Source organism: Homo sapiens, chromosome Y (genome assembly GCF_000001405.40).
Source record: "Homo sapiens chromosome Y, GRCh38.p14 Primary Assembly".
NCBI classification, from domain to species: domain Eukaryota; kingdom Metazoa; phylum Chordata; class Mammalia; order Primates; family Hominidae; genus Homo; species Homo sapiens.
In genome coordinates, this window is record NC_000024.10 from 21,445,016 (window position 1) to 21,463,082 (window position 18,067).

General features: G+C 40.8%; 1 long non-coding RNA gene across 1 annotated transcript in view; it reads right to left on the reverse strand.

Annotated features, from left to right (window-relative positions):
- Positions 1-6,831, reverse strand: part of PRORY (PRORY Y-linked lncRNA) — a 69,942-nt gene extending 63,111 nt beyond the window's left edge. The window contains exon 1 of the long non-coding RNA NR_170372.1: positions 6,629-6,831. This is a non-coding gene — a long non-coding RNA (PRORY Y-linked lncRNA). The remainder of the gene's footprint in view (positions 1-6,628) is intronic.
- Positions 6,832-18,067: the final 11,236 nt, after the last annotated feature.

An 18,067-nucleotide genomic window follows, 5' to 3' on the forward strand; every position in this document is an offset into this window, starting at 1 on the left:
TATCCAGGCTGAATCATTATTATTACATCCTTGGACACAGTCTGAAACTGATATACTCACAACATGGATTCTGGCTGAAACTCTAGGAGTAATTCCCTGGGAACAGGATATATTCCAACCATGGACCCACGCTGAACACCCACCAGTATCTTGGACTCAATCATTGATTCCGGGTAAAACACCAGCAATGAATCCCTGGAGAGATGTCACAGCTGATATGGTCCTACCATGGAATCAGGCTGAATTTATAGTAGGAAATGCCTGGACACAGTCTGAAACTTATACAGTCACACAGGGGATCCTGAATGGTCCTCCAGCACGATATTCTTGGACACAACAAATAGCTGATGTAGACAAGCTGTGGACCAAGCCTGAATTTCCCACAATAAATCCCTGGACAAAGTCTGTAGGTGATACTACTATACAATAGTATAGTAGTGATAGTACTATACAATAGATTCAGGATGAGTCTCCAGCAATAAAACCATAGACACAGTATGTGTCTTATACAATCAAACCATGGGCCCCAGATGAATCTTCAGCAGTAAATCTCTGTACACTCCCTGAATCTGATAGCATTATCCTGTGGACACAAGCTGAGTCTCCAATGGTAAATCTGTGCACAGAGGCTGCAACTTCCAAAGTCACACCATGGGCCCGGGCTGTATCTCCAGCAGTAATTCCATGGACACAGCCTATACCTTCCATAATTGTACCTTGGACCCAGGTTGAATGTCCATCAGTAAATACCTGGACAATGTCCATAGCCAATACCATCACACTATGGAACCGGGCTGAATTAATAGCGGGATATCCATGGATACTGCCACGGGCTGCTACTATCACACTATGCACAGTCTGAATCTGCAGTAGGAAATCTTTGGACACAGCCTGTATATGACACAGACACTCCATGGCGTAAGGCTGAATCTTCAGCAGTAGTTTACTGGACAGAATCTGTAGCTGATACACACACACCATGAACTCAGTTTGAAGTAAAGTTTACAGTTTTTAACAGTAAAGCCTTGGATCCAATCTGTATCTGATACACTCATACCCTGGACCCAGGCTGAGTCTTCAGCAGAAAAGCATTTGACACAGGCAATAGCTTATACAATCAAACGATGGAACTAAGTCAAATCACCTGCCATAAATCTCTGGAAACAATATGAAACCAATATGTTCACGTGGTGGACTGAGGCTGAATCTCCAAAAGTTTTGAGGAAACCAGCCCCACACTGCCTGGCAGGTACCCCGAATCCAGTGGAGACAAAGGAATTAGTACAACGGAGACAAAGGAATTAGAAAGAGACAGAATAAGAGTTTAAAAGGTGGGTTCAGGGGACCAGAGCATCGGACACTTGCAAATGGCGTGGAGCTCTCGGCCTCCACCTAATTTATTAGTTTACAAGCTCTTTGTTCTTAGGGCAGATGGGAGGGGGAGGAAGGGAATGAGGAAAAGGTTTAATCCGTGAAGGAGAACTTGTGAGTCATTCAATAAAATGTATAGCAGTGGCAGTTTCTGTGAATTTCCTTGAGCAAAGGCATGTGTCTAAACGACTAAAGATCTTTAACTTATTGAGACTGAAATGGGTGGGAGTGGATTTCAGGAGAAGCCAAGATGTTTGATTATACTCCACTTCTTCAAGGGAGTGTTATTTCCCGGAGCAACCTGTGGCATTCTTCTGAGCTCTTATGCTCTTAGGGCATAAAGACATGAAGGCAATAACGAGACTTTTCTCCTTAGAGGCTGCCCACGTCTCCCCATGGGTGTCTTACACAGGAGAGACCAACTTATCTGGCATTCCAGAAACTCTCTTTCTCATGGGTCTTCCTTTTTTGTCTCTATTTTTTTTTTATTAGAACTGCCATTGCTATCATTCATGCTCTCTGGCTTCTCTCCCTAGGTACCCTCTGCATCTATAGACTAAAAACAAACAGCATAAACAGACACAAACCAAAATAAAATTTGCAATTGTTCATCTACCTATGGTGTTCATCCACTTTAAAGGATTACTCTTAGAAAGGCCATCAGTAGCTCCAGCAAGAATATCAGCTCCAGACAACAGGCTTAGGTGAGCCTGAGGTGTCTCGAAAAGTTGTTTTTTTCAGTTTAGCAATATCTAGTGTTAAAATGTCTTCTTTTCCTGGTAGGTTATGTCTAATCATCTCCTAATGGTGTTCAGTGGCATTATAAGAGCTAGGAGTAATATGAAGATCAGAAATATTCCAATCACATTGCATTTGAATTCTATGCTCCATAGAATCCGATCTCCCATCCAAACTACTGTTTGATGGAGATCATTAATTTGATTTGCGAATTTTTTTTTTTTTTGAGACGGAGTTTCGCTCTGTCGCCCAGGCTGGAGTGCAGTGGTGCGATCTCGACTCACTGCAAGCTCCGCCTCCCGGGTTCACGCCATTCTCCTGCCTCAGCCTCCCGTGTAGCTGGGACTACAGGCGCGCGCCACCATGCCCGGCTAATTTTTTGTATTTTTTTTTGTAGTGGAGACGGGGTTTCACCGTGTTAGCCAGGATGCTCTCGATCTCCTGACCTCGTGATCCGCCCGTCTCGGCCTCCCAAAGTGCTGGGATTACAGGCGTGAGCCACCGCGCCCGGCCTGATTTGCCAATTTTTGATCTATTTGGCTTTGGGAATGCCAAAGCTTAGAATAATTTTTCTGCCAACTATCCACAAAGCCCACAGTTTGAATAGAAGAGTGCAAAGCAACACCAGCAGCAGCAGCAGTAGCTGTGACAGATATAAGGCCCATGATCACAGCTATTAAAGTAAATATGAATCTCTTTGATCTATTAAGTATTCTGTTTAGCACTTCAATGATACTATGTATGGAGGGAGAGGCCTCCGAAGGTCTATTGAGGGAAACAGGTATCCAAACTCCTTCTCAAGACTTAACCAGTAAAATGCTATTATCTTTATTAAAGGTAGAATTAATGCAGGTAAAAAGATGACAGTTGAGGCATGATATGGTTTGAGAGTCAGGTAGGATATTAATTTTTCCCACTGCCAACATAAAAGGAGGTTTAACACAACGCTGCAAAGGGACTGTCTAGTTAGAGGTCATGGCTACAACAAATCTAAGTTTTTTACTATGGTTCTCTGTTTTATATTCTCCTTTCCAAATCTGAATTGGGATTTGAGCCATCATTAATTTCCACAATTCTGGATGCTCTGGACTTATAATTGGATCAATCATTTTTGGGCTTGGAGGAGCCATACCATTCTCCTCCCACTTAATAGTGTAATTTGTTTCAATTCTTCCGTATAATTTTGGTGCATTATCTGGGTAGTCATTTGCAAAAGGAGTCTCTCTACAATCTTCATGCTGTCCAGTACAATTTACTGCAAAGTGTCCCACAGGGGCCCAATCAATGATGATTCCATAGGAATTATTTTTCAGTACAGCACTGCTATTTGCAATACAAGCTTCCCAGGTTAGAACCTCTAGTTTTCAGACTATTGAGTGGCCTGCCTACCCAGGGCAGGACTTCTTATTAGGTTTAAATTTATTAATCTGGTGATGTGTCATAACATAGCCATGCTCAAGGTATTTAATAGGGTCCAAACATTGAAATGTCCTTCCACTAAATACATGAATAGAGGCTTTTGATGAATTATGTGCAGGAACATAAACCATCCAGCTTCGTTTATCAGAATTTAAATATCCTGCTGCCAGCCCCAGACAGATGAGAGTAAAGCAATAACCAATGGAAACATTCACTAACATTCCTTCCTCTTCTGGATGAGTAGGACCTTGGTTATCTGCTGGTCCAGGCATCCAGACAGTATCATTAACATAAACCTCCACTGGGTCAACTAACCATGTTAACAGGCCTAATCAGTGGTGAGAGTGGAATGTAGGCCCAATAAGTGTAATTTTGATCTGCCCCTTTGTGGGGAGACTCACCACCAAGGAGATTACCACCATCATAGCTAACATTAGATTACTGGTGGTCAGCGGCTTGTTCTGAGACCTCAGGTTCTCTTCTGCAATGTGAGCTAGTCTCTTAATCTGCCCCCAGGTTGGTGGAGTTGACTTGGCTAGTTTCACTTGTTTCCATGTGCCCAACAGAGATGTTCATCTGAGCCATCTGATCAACTGTGGGTGCAGGAACGTTCCAAGGTCTTTTTCTCTTCCTTGGACTCTGGCTCATGGCACAGCTTAAGATGTCTTGTGGGTACCCAGACAGGAAGCTGATTCTCTTCTGGTGAGATACAAGCAAATCCTCGACCCTAACAAGACCCACTGGGGCCTTTTGTTTAGGCCAGTTTTTTGGCTGTTGATAAAGGGCTATCATCGACACATCTGCTCCTGTGTTGACCAGTCCCTCAAATTATTTTCCTTGAATAAACCATAAAAATAACTCTATTGTCAGACACTCGATTTACCCAATAGACAGCCTTGCTTGCTGAATTTGTGCTTCCAAATCCTCCTGTTCTTTTTTCTGAGATTTCTCCTAACTTAACATATGGTAAAAGTAACAGTTGAGGTATTCTGTCACCTGGATTAGCACTGCAGGGAACAGTGGAGGAGAAAACAATTTGAATTTCTCCCTGGCAATCAGTCTGCTACTCCAGTATGTACTTGAATTCCCTTTATGTTTAAGGTGGATCTTCCCAGTATAAGTCCCACTGTGCCATTTGGCAATGGGCTGTAAACTCCCATTGGGACCTTCCTAGGAGGCTCCCCAGGAAGGAGGGATACAGGTTCAGTACAGAATAAAACTACTGCCCCGCTTCTAGCTGTGGAGGGAGATAATTGCTGTACATTTGTACAGGGATAGACTGGGCCGGGAAGACTCCATTTGGAGTCGGGGACATCCCATCCTGAATTGGAAATGCCCCATTTTGAATCGGGGCCAGGGGCTGGCCCCTCTCTCCATTTCCCAGCAAGGGCTGTCTGCTGTTATCAAACTTTGAAAGACATTGATTAGCTCAGTGTTTACTTTTTTACATATGGGACAGATTCCTGGTACCCTGCTTTTTCCTCCTGAGTTTTGCCTTTTTTGGCTCTTTGTACATTCTCTTTTTGTATGTCCTGTCTGCCCACAATTATAGCAAGATCCAGGCAACACTCGTGTGCTTTTTGTTACCTTTAGTTCATCCACTGCCAGAGCTAGGAGGCTGGCCTTATGTAAGTGCCCCACAATGCCATGGTAGGCTTTAATGTATTCGCTTAAAGATTTTTCCTCATTTAGATCTGCCTTTCCCTTAATAGGTCTAATTGCTGCCTGACATTCTGTATTAGCATTTTCATAAGCAAGCAGCTGAATGATCCCTTTCCTGGCATGAGAATCCTAAATACCCTTTTGAGACATGTCTTGCAAATGGGCAATAAAATCTGGATAAGTCTCCCTTGGACCCTGTTAAACTGAGTTAAAAGAAGGATAAGTAGTACCAGGGTTGTGAATTTTTTCCCAGACTCAGGCACATCGTTCTGAGCTGATAAGCAGCCTCATCACCCATTACTATCTGTTGATTTAGAGTACCCCATGCCTGTCCGATTCCAAGCAATTGGTCAGATGTGATATTAACAGAGGTTGGGTTTGAGCATTTCTGCATGCCTGATTTGTTGCTTAATCTGTCCACCAGGTTTTAAATTGGAGAAATTCAGAGGGGGACAGGGTGGATCAGGCTAATGACTCCCAATCTATAGGTATTAAACGCCAGTTATAAGCCACAGATTGTAACAAGGAATGAATATAAGGATAATTTGGCCCATATTGTCCAATTGCTTGCTTTAAAGACTTTTAATATTTTAAAAGGAAATGGCTCCCAGCATGCTTGAGCATGTTCTCTGGGCTCCTCAGCTGGAGAAATAATTACCAGAAACTGCCAAGCACCCGAATTCCCCATTTCTTGTGCCTGGTGAATGGATGTCTGGATTGTCCCTGCGCCATAATTTGTATTCGGACTAGCTTGCAGTATTCCTCCGCCATAATTAACAGGCAGATAAGCCTGGATCATTCCCCCCCCTTACTTGGCTGTTGGGCAAGCCTGAAGCTTCCCATTGCCACAGTTAGTGGAAGGGAGTGCAATAATGGGAGCTGCAAGCCGCGTCGCAGACTCCTGTTCCAAAAATACCTAAGACTAAAGTTGGAGTGGCCATTCCGGACCTTCCCCTAAAGGCGCAGTAGGTAGCACTGTTTCTTTCATAAGTTTTTGGAGGTTAGGATATATAACTTCCCATTTCTCCCCCTTTTTAAAACTAGACTGTGACAGTTCACTTTGCTGATTAGCAGACTCCTGATTATTAAACTTTTCTATGTCATCCTGAAACTTCTCCTCCTCCTCCTCAGTGTGGAAAGGCTGCAGTGCTGTTTAAATTGCCGACCACACAGACCAAGTGGAGAAGGGCCCTCTTGTTGTGATTGTTTTAAGTCTGATCCTACCTTGTCCCAATCTTTTAAATCCATGTTTCCATATTCCAGGAACCAAGAAGAATACTTTTCTACGAGATGGAACAAAGATGTAAGATTTTGGGTATTCACAATTACCCCTCCGTGGCACAATAACTGCTGCACCAGGCTTAATTAACAAACTTACTCTCAGCCAGTCTCATATTTTCCCTAGGTTACCCTGGAATTCTCCGAGCGCCCTACTTACCTGTAGAGCTTGAAGTGAAAACATATTCAGGTGTCCTTTGTCAGTCGTCCTCCACTTTGCACGCTCTGGCGTTCCTTCACTGGATTATTTGTAGAGATTATGGGGAGCCCCGCGTTGGCCACCAGATGTTGGGGAAACCAGCCCCACACCAGCTGGCGGTTACCTCGAATCCGGCAGGTACCCCGAGTCCGGCGGAGATAAAGAATTAGAAAGAGACAGAATAACAGTTTAAAAGGCTAGTCCAAGGGACCAGAGTGTCAGACTCTTACTCATAGCCTGGAGCTCTCAGCCCCCACCCAATTTATTGGTTTACAAGCTCTTTGTTCTTAGGGCAGGCGGGAGGGGGAAGAAGGGATGAGGAAAAGGATTAATCAGCGAAGGAGAACTCGTGAGTCGTTCAATAAGATGTATAGCAGTGGCAGTATCTGAATTTCCCTAGCAAAAGCGTGGGTCTAAACTGCTTAAGACCTTCAATTCATCGGGACTAAAATGGGTAGGAGCAGGTTTCAGGAGAAGCCAAGATGTTTGATTTTACTCCACTGCTTCAAGGGAGTGTTATTTCCCCAAGCAAGGTGTGGCATGCCACTGAGCTCTTATGCTCTTGGGGCATAAAGACATGAAGGCAGTAAGGACACTTTTCTCCTCAGATGCCACATATGGCTCCCCATGGGTGTCTCACACAGGGGAGACCAATTCATCTGGCATTCCTGAAACTCTCTTTCCCACAAAAAGTAAATGATTGGACACAGCCCATACCAGCTACAGTTATACCACCAAACCAAGCTGAATCTGTAGGAGTAAATCCCTCCACAAATCTTGAAACAGAAATTGTCATACTGTGGACCCAGGCCCATTCTAAAATCAACAATCCCTGCACATACACTCTATTTGATAGAGTGACACCATTGGCTAAGAATGTTTGTGTAGCAGTAAAACAATAGAGATAGTTTAAAACTAAAATAGTCACATCATAGACCCAGGATCTGTTGCCAGGAATAAATCCATTAACAGTGGCTGAAACTGGTATAGTCACACTGCAGTACATGGCTGTATCTCTAGTAATGATTCCCAGGAGAGAGGCTTTATCTGATACAGTCATAATATGGACACAGACAAAACCTCCAGCAATCACTTTCTGGTTACAATCTCTACCTGATGCAGGCAAACTACAGACCCAAATGAAATATCCATCAGTAAACACTTGGAACGAGGCTGAATTTCAAGCTGTAAATTCCATGATGGAGTCTAAGTCTCCAGTTGTAAATATCTGGACAGATCCTGAATCTCCAGCCCCAAGTCCTCTGCTATAGGTCGAGACTGATATAGTCATACCATGGACCCAGACTCAATCTTTAGCAGTAAATGCTTGGTCAAAGCCTGTTGCTGATACACTCATACTGTATACAGCCTGCAACTCTATCATTAATCTTCTTTTCACAAAGTTTACATGGTACACTGAAAGCTTGTACTGAAACCAAATGTCTATCATTAAATACCTGGACAGAGGCTATAGCTTCCACAGATATACCCTGGACCCAGGCTGAATTTCCAGCAATAAATCCCTGGACAGAGCCTGTTTTTCATACAGCTACAATTTGGGCACAGGCTGTATCTGCAACAGTAAAGGCCTGGGCACAGCCTTCATCTAATACAACCAGATTATGGTCCCAATCTGAATCTGCAGCATTAATTGCATGGATACTGCCTGTATCTGACACATACATAGGATTGATCCAATTTGAATCTTCAGCAGTAAATCCCTGTATATTGCCTATATCTAATACATTATTATTGTGGACCCAGCCTGTATCTCTAGCAGTCAATTCGTGGATAGAGGCAATAGTTTCCATAGTCACACCATGGACCAAACCTTTTTTTCTAGCAACAAATCCCTGGACACATCCTGTATCTGATATAGTTGCACTTTGGACCCAGGCTGAATCTTCTGCAGTCATTACCTCCACACAGCCAGTTTCTGACAAAATTATACTGTGGCTGCAGGCCCAGTCTCCAGTAGGAATTATCTGGACACAGACTGTATCTGATATACTTATATTATGGAACTACGAGGAATATTCAGCAGAAAACCCAGAGGCATGGGCTGTAGTTTCCACAGTGTTACCATGGACCTAGCATATCCCTACAGCAGGAAAAACCTGGAAACTACCTGTGTCTGAATCAATCACTCCGTGATCCCAGTCTGAGTCTCCAGTAGTAAACACAACCTTTGATCCAAGATAAAAATCAAGAGTCTATTTTATGGACACATCATGAAATTGAATGTATCAGTGAATGGACTTTGCCTGAATTTGGAACACTTATATCCTGGATAGTGCCTGGGCCTCCAGCAGCAAAACCATGGTCCCAACCTGAAGCTCTAGTTATAGAACTTTGTTTAAAACTGGAACAGAAAAAAATAAAACCTTAGGTTCACCAGAATTTCAAACACTGAGCACATTTACTCCCTTTGGACCTGGTAAAATAGAATCCTGGGCCAAACAGAGAACTACAACTTTAATAACATGGATCCAATCCAAAAGGAATGCCTTCTTCCCATATACACAATCTGAAGTAGGTACAATGAGATCCAAAACAATTTCTGAAGCTGTTACAGTAAAATATGGATCCAGACTGAAGCAGGCACAATCCACCCTTGGACTCAAGCTAGAACTAATACAATCAGACCTTTGACTCATGCTGAATTTCAAGCAGTCAGACTCTGGACCCTGTCCTTGTCTGATACGCTACTGTATCAGACTGAAATACAGGCAGCAAAATGCTTGACCATGCCTGATATTAATATTCTGAGTGCTTGGCTTCAGACCCAAAATTATGTAAGAAGAAATGGTACTCAACCTTACTCTCAAACAGTTACTTACCTGGATGCAGCCATAATCCACCCATGGAACCAATCTGAAAAGAATGCAGTCAGACCCTGGACCCCAGTCTGAAGGTGATGTTATCCAACCTTGGATCTATGCTGAAACCAATACTGTCAGACACTGGACCCATTCTGAAACTGATAAAATAAAACAATGGACTGAGCCTGAATCTCAAGCAAGTAGGACCTGGCCTGAGGCAGGTATGTTGATATGTTTGTCCCCAAAACGATGCAGTTTGACCCTGGACCCAACTTGAATCTCAAGCTTCACACTCCTGGACCCAGAATCAAATTAGCATAAATTACTCTTGGATTTAGCATGTACCTGCTACAATCAGACCATGGACTTACTCTGGAATTCATCCCTGGACCCACCATGAAACCAATAGAGTGATAAGATACTGGTTCCAGACTCAAATAAATTCAACGAGATACTGGAACCAACCTGAAACTGAAGTATTCCAAATTTGGACTGTAAGCCAAGGAATAAAACCCTGTAACATGACTGAAATTGATACAGTCACATCTTGCTTACAGCCTCAATGTGATACAGTTAAATCCTGAATTCATCCTGAAAGTCAGCCACTTTCTCCCTGGCCCCAGACTGAAGTTGGTATATTCTGTCCCTGGACTCAGCAAAGAGCTGCTACATATCAAACATGGACCCACCCTGAAACCTAAGCAGTGAGACCCTGGAACAAGCAGGAAACTGATATAATCAGATCTTTGTTTTACATTCAGGTGCATAAAGGCAGCTCTTGGCTTATTCAAAATCTCAAATACTCAGTTCTTCGATCCAGCCTGACATTGATATAATTCACAATTTTATTCAGTCTGAAACTTTGGTTCTAAGATTCTGGCCCAAGGTTCTACCTGCAGTAGTCAAACCATGGAACTTGCTTAAAGGAAGAACACTCATATCTTGGATACTGCCTGTAACCCAAGCAGACACACACTGGATCCAGTCTGAAGCTGATATTATTGAATCCTTTGTGGATTTTAAAGGTGGCAAAGTGAGAACCTGGATCTAGCCTGAAACAAAAATACTAAGACCCAGAACCCATTGTAAGGCTAATATAATTGCATCATTTTCTCCTCCTGAAATTGAGCTGAATGGAGAAACACTATTAATGAGTCATTTTGTCTCCTTGTCTAAACGTGTACCCTTTTTGCCAGTAAAAACTGTCTTTCCCAGATCAGTATTTAATAGCTTTGTTAACTGAGATAACTGCCACAGAAAGCCAGGATAAAATCAATTCTCTCCAACCAAGCCAGCTTACAAGCATTTGGCTTCCTGGAAGAGTTGTTTACCAGCACTATGGAAGGAAATTAAAAATTATCAAGATAAAAGAAAGCCCTGACGTCCCAGCTACCTCTCTTGTCTCTCTTTCTTCCTCCTTTTTCTTTCTTCTTTCTTGTTCTTTTCCATCTCCATGTACACTGTGTTCTTCTTAAGTCTTTTCTTCTTGTACATTCCCTTCATTCTGCATTTTCCCATCTTGCTCAGTTTTTTCTCCTCTGGTCTCCTCTCCTATTCTTCTTTCCATAGCCTCTTCTACTAATCCTCTTCAGAAAATATCTTCCTCAACATTTACTGAAGAGTCCATTCTTTCTCAATCTTTTTCATCCTTGCATGCTGCTCCAGCCACACTTTTAATAAAACACCCTCTCCTGATGCCTGGATCTCAGTCTGGACCCAAGCCTGGACAACAACCTCTTAGGCATGCAGAATTCAACGTTTCCCTGGATGAGTGTCAACTAGCTGTGATCTGGAAAGAAAGTTTACAGGCTTACTGGCTCTTCAAGACACGTGTTATTTCTCATGAAACCACAGGCACCTTTAGTCTAGTCATATGTTTGAGTTAATATACTTAGTACGAAGACTCTTGTTGAAGCCTAAAACCAGAGTTTGTAAGATAAGAGGTTATATTCTCAGACCTTTGCAAAACCAAAATTTATGTTATTATATGAATCAGCAGAGATGTCTAAATATTAACAGAATATTTTATTTTTGCCAAACAAGATTTATGAACTATGTTTTATGAACACAATTCTATTCAGAGAACAGTATTTTAAAGATAGTCTTACTTCTTAGAAATGTTTTATTATTTCCACTTGAGGTATGTACATATAGATACACACTGTTGGATAATAGTATTATATCTTGGATATAAATAATAAGATATATAACATATGTACTTTATTATTTGAAGGGAAAATATGGAGATAACCTCTGTAGTTTATCTAAAATTGTTGGATGAATAATGTACATTTCCAAATATTTTCTCAGAATTGAAGATACTGAATTTCCAAGCATATTCCTAAAAACCTAAAATTAGATTTTAGAAATGGGAGACCAGTAACACTAAACTCACTCTATTCCACAGGTTTATTCCTTCTGCAGAGTGTGGGTTACGCCCTGGCCATGTCCCCCTCTTTCCCAACTGCTGGGAGGCAGAAATTGGTGAATTTCCTTGGATAGTTTCCTGCAACTGTCTTTCTCTCATTTCTGTGCTGGCTCCATACTAAATGAACAGTGGATCCTTACCACAGCTAGATATGGCAATTTTATGTAAGTCTGAGTAATTCATTTCAAGATTAAGATATCATTATAAAGCAATTACAACATTGAGATTGTTAATGAATATCTTTCTCTTTGTGTGTCTGTGTCTGTGTGTGAGAGAGAGACAGAGAGAAAGAGAGATGGAGACAGGGTCTTGCTCTATTGCCCAGGCTGCAGTGCAGTGGCATGATTCACATTAGCCTCAAATTCCCAAGATTAAGGGATTCTCCCACCTCTGCCTCCTCAGTGCATGGGACCACAGGCATGCACCACTGATTCTGGCTAATTTTTTTTTCATTTTCTCCAGAAATAAAGTCTTATCATGTTGCCCACCTGGTCTCAAGTGATCCTCAAAAATAGTTTATAAAGTAGTATTTGTACTTTAGTGCTTACCTGGACTTCATCTGATTCACATGATGTACACGGCTTATTCCAATTGAAATGTGGAAATAACAAGACTTTTTCTTGACTTTTTCCCCAGAAAAAGCTCAGGAGCACTGGCCCTGGTCCAAATGGGGCTTAGTCATCTTCTGGATTCTGCCTAAGCTTAGACAGTCAGGATTGACAGTGCCATACCCTACCTAGGTCCCAAGGGACCCCTGGATTGATCTTCCCAAGGCAGCCACAACATTTTCAACCCCTGGTCCTTCCTATATGCCCAGAGGAAAGTCTGAAATGGAGTAAATTTATACAACTATGTGACTATTAGCTACCTAGTTGGTCCCTTATGAGGGGTGACTAATGAAGAAGACAATGGCATGGAAGAGTAGTATGTTGGGAAAAAGAATATTATCCTCTCTTGAATAATAAAAAAAAAATTCTTTCTCTTCACTATGTTTCTCTCTCTAATCTAAGCTAAATTTGAAAACAAGCAAACAACCACAAACACCTCTTCTCTGTTTTTCATCAGAAAGTCCTGGAATTCAGCAAAAAAAGCACCCAAGCATTCTACAAATCAGCACTTGTGTCCAATTTTGCCCCAAGTTGAATGAATTCACTTTTTGTATGGTGGCCAAGAAAGCTATGTGGGAGGCTGGCTGTAAGGTACAAATTCATGGGGTGTGAATACCAGAGAGAAAGAGAAATATCTTGAACAACAAAAGTTACTTCTGGCCCTCCTTCAAAATATTGATTGATATCTTGTCTCTTGTTTTTTGCAGGGTGACTTGAGAGCACCTTTGGTGTGCCAGCGACAGCAAAAAGACACTTGGGTGCAAGTGGGAATCTTGTCACTTTTAGGAGCATTGCACAAAGCCCTATGTCTTCAGCCAAGTGCACCCTTTCCTTTTCTGGCTCCAGGGAGTGACATGGCTTAGCCATGCACCCTGGAACCATCAAGGACACATGACTACCTCTGCTTCCATGTCCCTTTCAGTCTCTACCTCTACAAATGCCTTGGCTTTTACCTCCACTGCCAGTGCTTTTCGGCCACACTTCATCTTTCTGCCACAGCCTCAGAGTAAGGCTCAAAAACTTGGTAGGAGAAGTAAAGGAAGAAGAGAATGGAAATAGAAAAGAACAGAGGGAACAAGAGTGGAGAGAAAGCTCTTCCTGAGAAATGCTTTAAAAATTATTTTCCTTATGGCTCACATAGCCATTTCATACTTGATATATGATTCAATTTCCATAGTATCCCTACAGATTACTCTATGCTATAGATCAAATAACATGATTATTATAATTATCTTAAATGCGTATTCTGATAGTAGATAAGTACAATGGATTGATCAATTTCTCATGGCAAAAGATGAATAGGGCTAACATTAAGACACACTCTCCTAATACAAAGACATTTCCTTACTACCACACAGTACCTGACACTTGCAATATAGTTATTTAAAATTAAGTTTCTTTTAAGTTGAAGATATTATGATGTTTGGAAACAGCATAGTAGTTGATAAGTAATGTGTTTTAGGTGCTAGTGTACTAGACTATATTACAGTGCGACTATCAGGTTCCCCCTTCCCTTGGCTATCAGAAAACTTATCATAATATTAGCAATGTCTATTTCACGTTACTGTACTTCACCTATTTCCTTGGAAATTGAGTGATCTCTTTTGGTCTCATGTATTAAATGTGCACTAAACTGCAGCTATTTTATAGCTACCACCTATTGCCAAAGCTACAGTAAATAATACTTTAAAACATAAAGGAAGCCATAATTATTTGCTTACATCCTCCAAAGTCTAATTCAAAGACAGCTACACTTAAGATCTTAGTTATACTTCTAATTTCATCTATACTTCCTTACCCCTTCTATAGAGAGGTCATCTTCACCATTTTTATCTCTCTCTATATATATTAATGAGCATTGCTTCAACTCAGTTTTCTGAGGAATTCTAAAATAATTTTAAAAATATGAGCTCTTTCCTGAACCTCAAACTTGAATTTTCTATTTAAACTATTGGTTTGATATCTCACTAAGATTATAAGTTTAGGAAGATAAGCCCCCTCCAATTTAGAGACAGCTGCCTTATCTCCAAATTTTTCCTTATCTATCTAATATCTTCAAATCATTGTATTTTTTGTTGCCTACTTGCTTCAATGACTTCTAAGTAGCTAAAATCATAGATACACAAATATTGCAGTGGGAGAGAAAGCTGGAATGGCTCCCAATATTTTGATTAAAGAAATTTAAGCTAGGACATAAAGAAACTATGACCTTGGAAAGATAATAACAGGAATACTTTTTTTCAAGGAAAATGCATAAACACAATAGAGGTAGAACTTTGTCTTTGCTAGTCGTATTTAACAATGCTGACTCAGCAGAAATAGGAGGGATTTAAAACTTTAAAAATCATCTACAGTTGGCAATTCTATTCAATCAGCACAATTAGGCTTATTTTTCTCCTCAGCTTTGGCAGATCAGATTGCTCTGCAATATGCTATGCCTTGGCAAGCTGTGATCAACAGCCATGGAAGTGATTTCTGCTGTGGTTCCGTGGTTAGCCACTGTTGGATTCTCACAGCTGCCCACTGTGTCAGGAACATGTAAGTTTGTGCCTGCCTCTTCCCATACCCTATAATTCATTATCCCATAAATACATTGCTGAAGGTTTCTCTGTCCAAATTCACTTCTATCATGTATGACCATCTGGCATATACAGATAACATTTTTGGTTTAGGCTAAAAATAAATTGTCTCACTGTGTTTGGCTTACTAGTACCTCTGTTAATTAATTCCTCTCCTAATCCCATTGTCTGTGGGCTCTTTATTCATAGATTTCTGATTTCTCTGAAGATGAGCTAGGTACCTTGTGTATCATGACTCAAGAAATATGCTGGAAAGCCTGATGTAGGCTTAAGGTTCTGGTTTTCTAATGAATGTACTATAATAAATTTTTGCCTGTGCACACAGGAATCCTGAAAACACTGCTGTGATTCTGGGCCTGAGGCACACTGGCACACCACTGAGAATTGTGAAGGTGTCTATCATGCTATTTCATGAGAGATTCCAGTTGTTGAGTAGGGTAGAAAGAAATGATCAGGCTTTGCTACTCCTCCAAGATGTCTAGACTCCCATTCGGCTCTTAGCACAGTTGGGCTATCTGAAAAACCTGAATAATTCAGAATGCTGGCTGTCTGGGCCTCAAATTATTATACCAGGTCAGCAGTTACTTTTCATATTAGGGTAGCAGCTCTAAAAAAGTGAGGTTCATATTTTTAATATTATGGTTCAAGGAATAACTATAATCACAATTGTATCCATTACTAATTATAAGATATTTAATCCATATAAGAGACCCACTAGGAGATTTGTTTTTGTTTTATAAGATGATGGTCCTGAAAATACCTTCACAGGATTTTAGATCTGAAAACAATAATATGAGGATCTTTCATAGTCAATTTCGTAAACCAAAATAGAGATGATTTGCTTTCTAACTCTTTGCTCACTTCAACACAAAGGAAAATGAAGCTTTTTTTGGTTTTATTTTGTTTTTAACCTCTTTATGAAAATGAAGCTGAACTTGACTTGGAATTTGGAATTCCATAAGTAAAATTTACTTGTTAATTTTGAAGAGTGGCATTTAAAAAGTGATTAAAGAGTGATGATGCTGTCCACAGTGACTCACTCCTATATTTCCAGCCTTTGGGAGCTTGAACTAGGAGAACCCTTTGGGCCCAGGAATGTGATAGCCACTTGGACAATATAGCAAGACTTCATCACTAAACAGCAACAACAACAAATAGGCTGGTGTGGTGTTGCACACGTGTAGTCCCAGCTATGTGGGAGGCTGAGATAGGAAGATAGCTTGAGACTAGGAGATTGAGGCTGCAGTTTGTGAAGATTGTGCCAATGCACTCCAGTCTGGGTGACCAAGCAAGAACTTGTCTCAAGAAAAAAGCGGGGGGCTGGCGTGGTGGCTCACACCTGTAATCCCAGCACTTTGTAAGGCTGAGGCCAGTGAATCACCCGAAGTCAGAAGTTTGAGACCAGTCTGACCAACATGAGGAAACCCCATTTCTGCTAAAAATACAAAATTAGCCAGGAGTGGTGGTGTGTGCCTGTAATCCCAGCTACTCAGGAGGCTGAGGCAGGAGAATTGCTTGAAGCCAAGAGGCGGAGGTTGTAGTGAGCCGAGATCAGGCCACTGCATTCCAGACTGAGTGACAGAGCGAAACTCCATCTCAGCAACAACAACAAAGTCACTAGAAAGAGAATGAAATTGATAAATGTGCAATGCAAAATGTTAATGGTGATAAAATAAACTGAATATCTTTGTATGTTATACATACAAGTTTAAAGTAATGAGGAGACAGTGATAAGACAGATCATGGTCTTACCTCAATACTTAGTGATTAAATGTAACATATGTTCTTTAGAATAGTTATAGTCCATTTGTCTTTCTAGGAGAGACCGATGAGAATCCAGAAATGTTAAAGATGCAAGTGATGGAAGCTTCCAGCTGTGCCCACCTGTACCCTGGCATAGGCAGTTCCATTGTTTGCTTCATTACGCAGGCCAAAGACTCTAATGCAAATGTGGTACACAGTCGATTATTTTTTGTTCTACATGATAGAAACTATAACTTTGTCCCTCTATAAAATGGTGTACAACATATGTCTAAATAATAAGTGAATTGCTCGTCAGTAGGAAACCATTTTAAAAGTCTTTAATTACAGAACAAAATCTCTGAAAAAAATTGCTGTTTATCTCTGAGTTTTCTTACATGGGTTATTAATCTTTAGCCATACTAAATAGCTAGTATGCTGCTCTTCAAACAAATTAGACATTTTATATAATTCCCATATTCTAATAATAGTATCTTTACCCCTCAGAGTTTCAAACGAGTCCAACCTTTTTCTATTTCCCCAATTAAAATAACTTTTTAAGGTTTAATCTTCAGTGATTTTTCTAGTAATATTTTTGAAGGTATTTGATCAGGATGATTTACTTTTGTACATATCTGATGTCTCACTTTCTTCTGAATACATCTTTTGTTATCCACTTATTAGATCTAAGGTTAAGAAGTTGGAATAGGGATTTAAATCCAAATGCTACATTTGAATTTACAGGAGTCAGTGAGTTCAGGAAGTGTCATTATGTGCAGACCAATATCTGGCAATGGCAGTTGGAGACAAATAGGCTTCACCAGTTTCAAAGCCCTAGCTACTACAATAAGTCAACACTTCTCCTGGATCTTATCTACTTCAGCAAAGGAAGGCTACCCACTAAACCAGGCCCATGTGCTTTGGGTGAAAACTTCTAAGTCCTCTAGCCTCCTTAAACAGCCAAGCACACTGCCACTTTCTTCAATAACAATTACTGCAGCCCTGAGACTTTGGTAGCCTAGTGACTATAACTAGTGATGCTACAGTCTGGTCACAGTGTGATAAAACACCAGAGCAACAAAAACAAAATATTGACTTAAGCCTTCTAAAATCTCTCTAAATATACCTTCAATAAATATGTTTTTTGCTACATAACAACTGCTTTCTACTTCCTGAACTAACGCTTGGCCTTGGATTGTTTTCATTCTTGAAATTGATTCAAA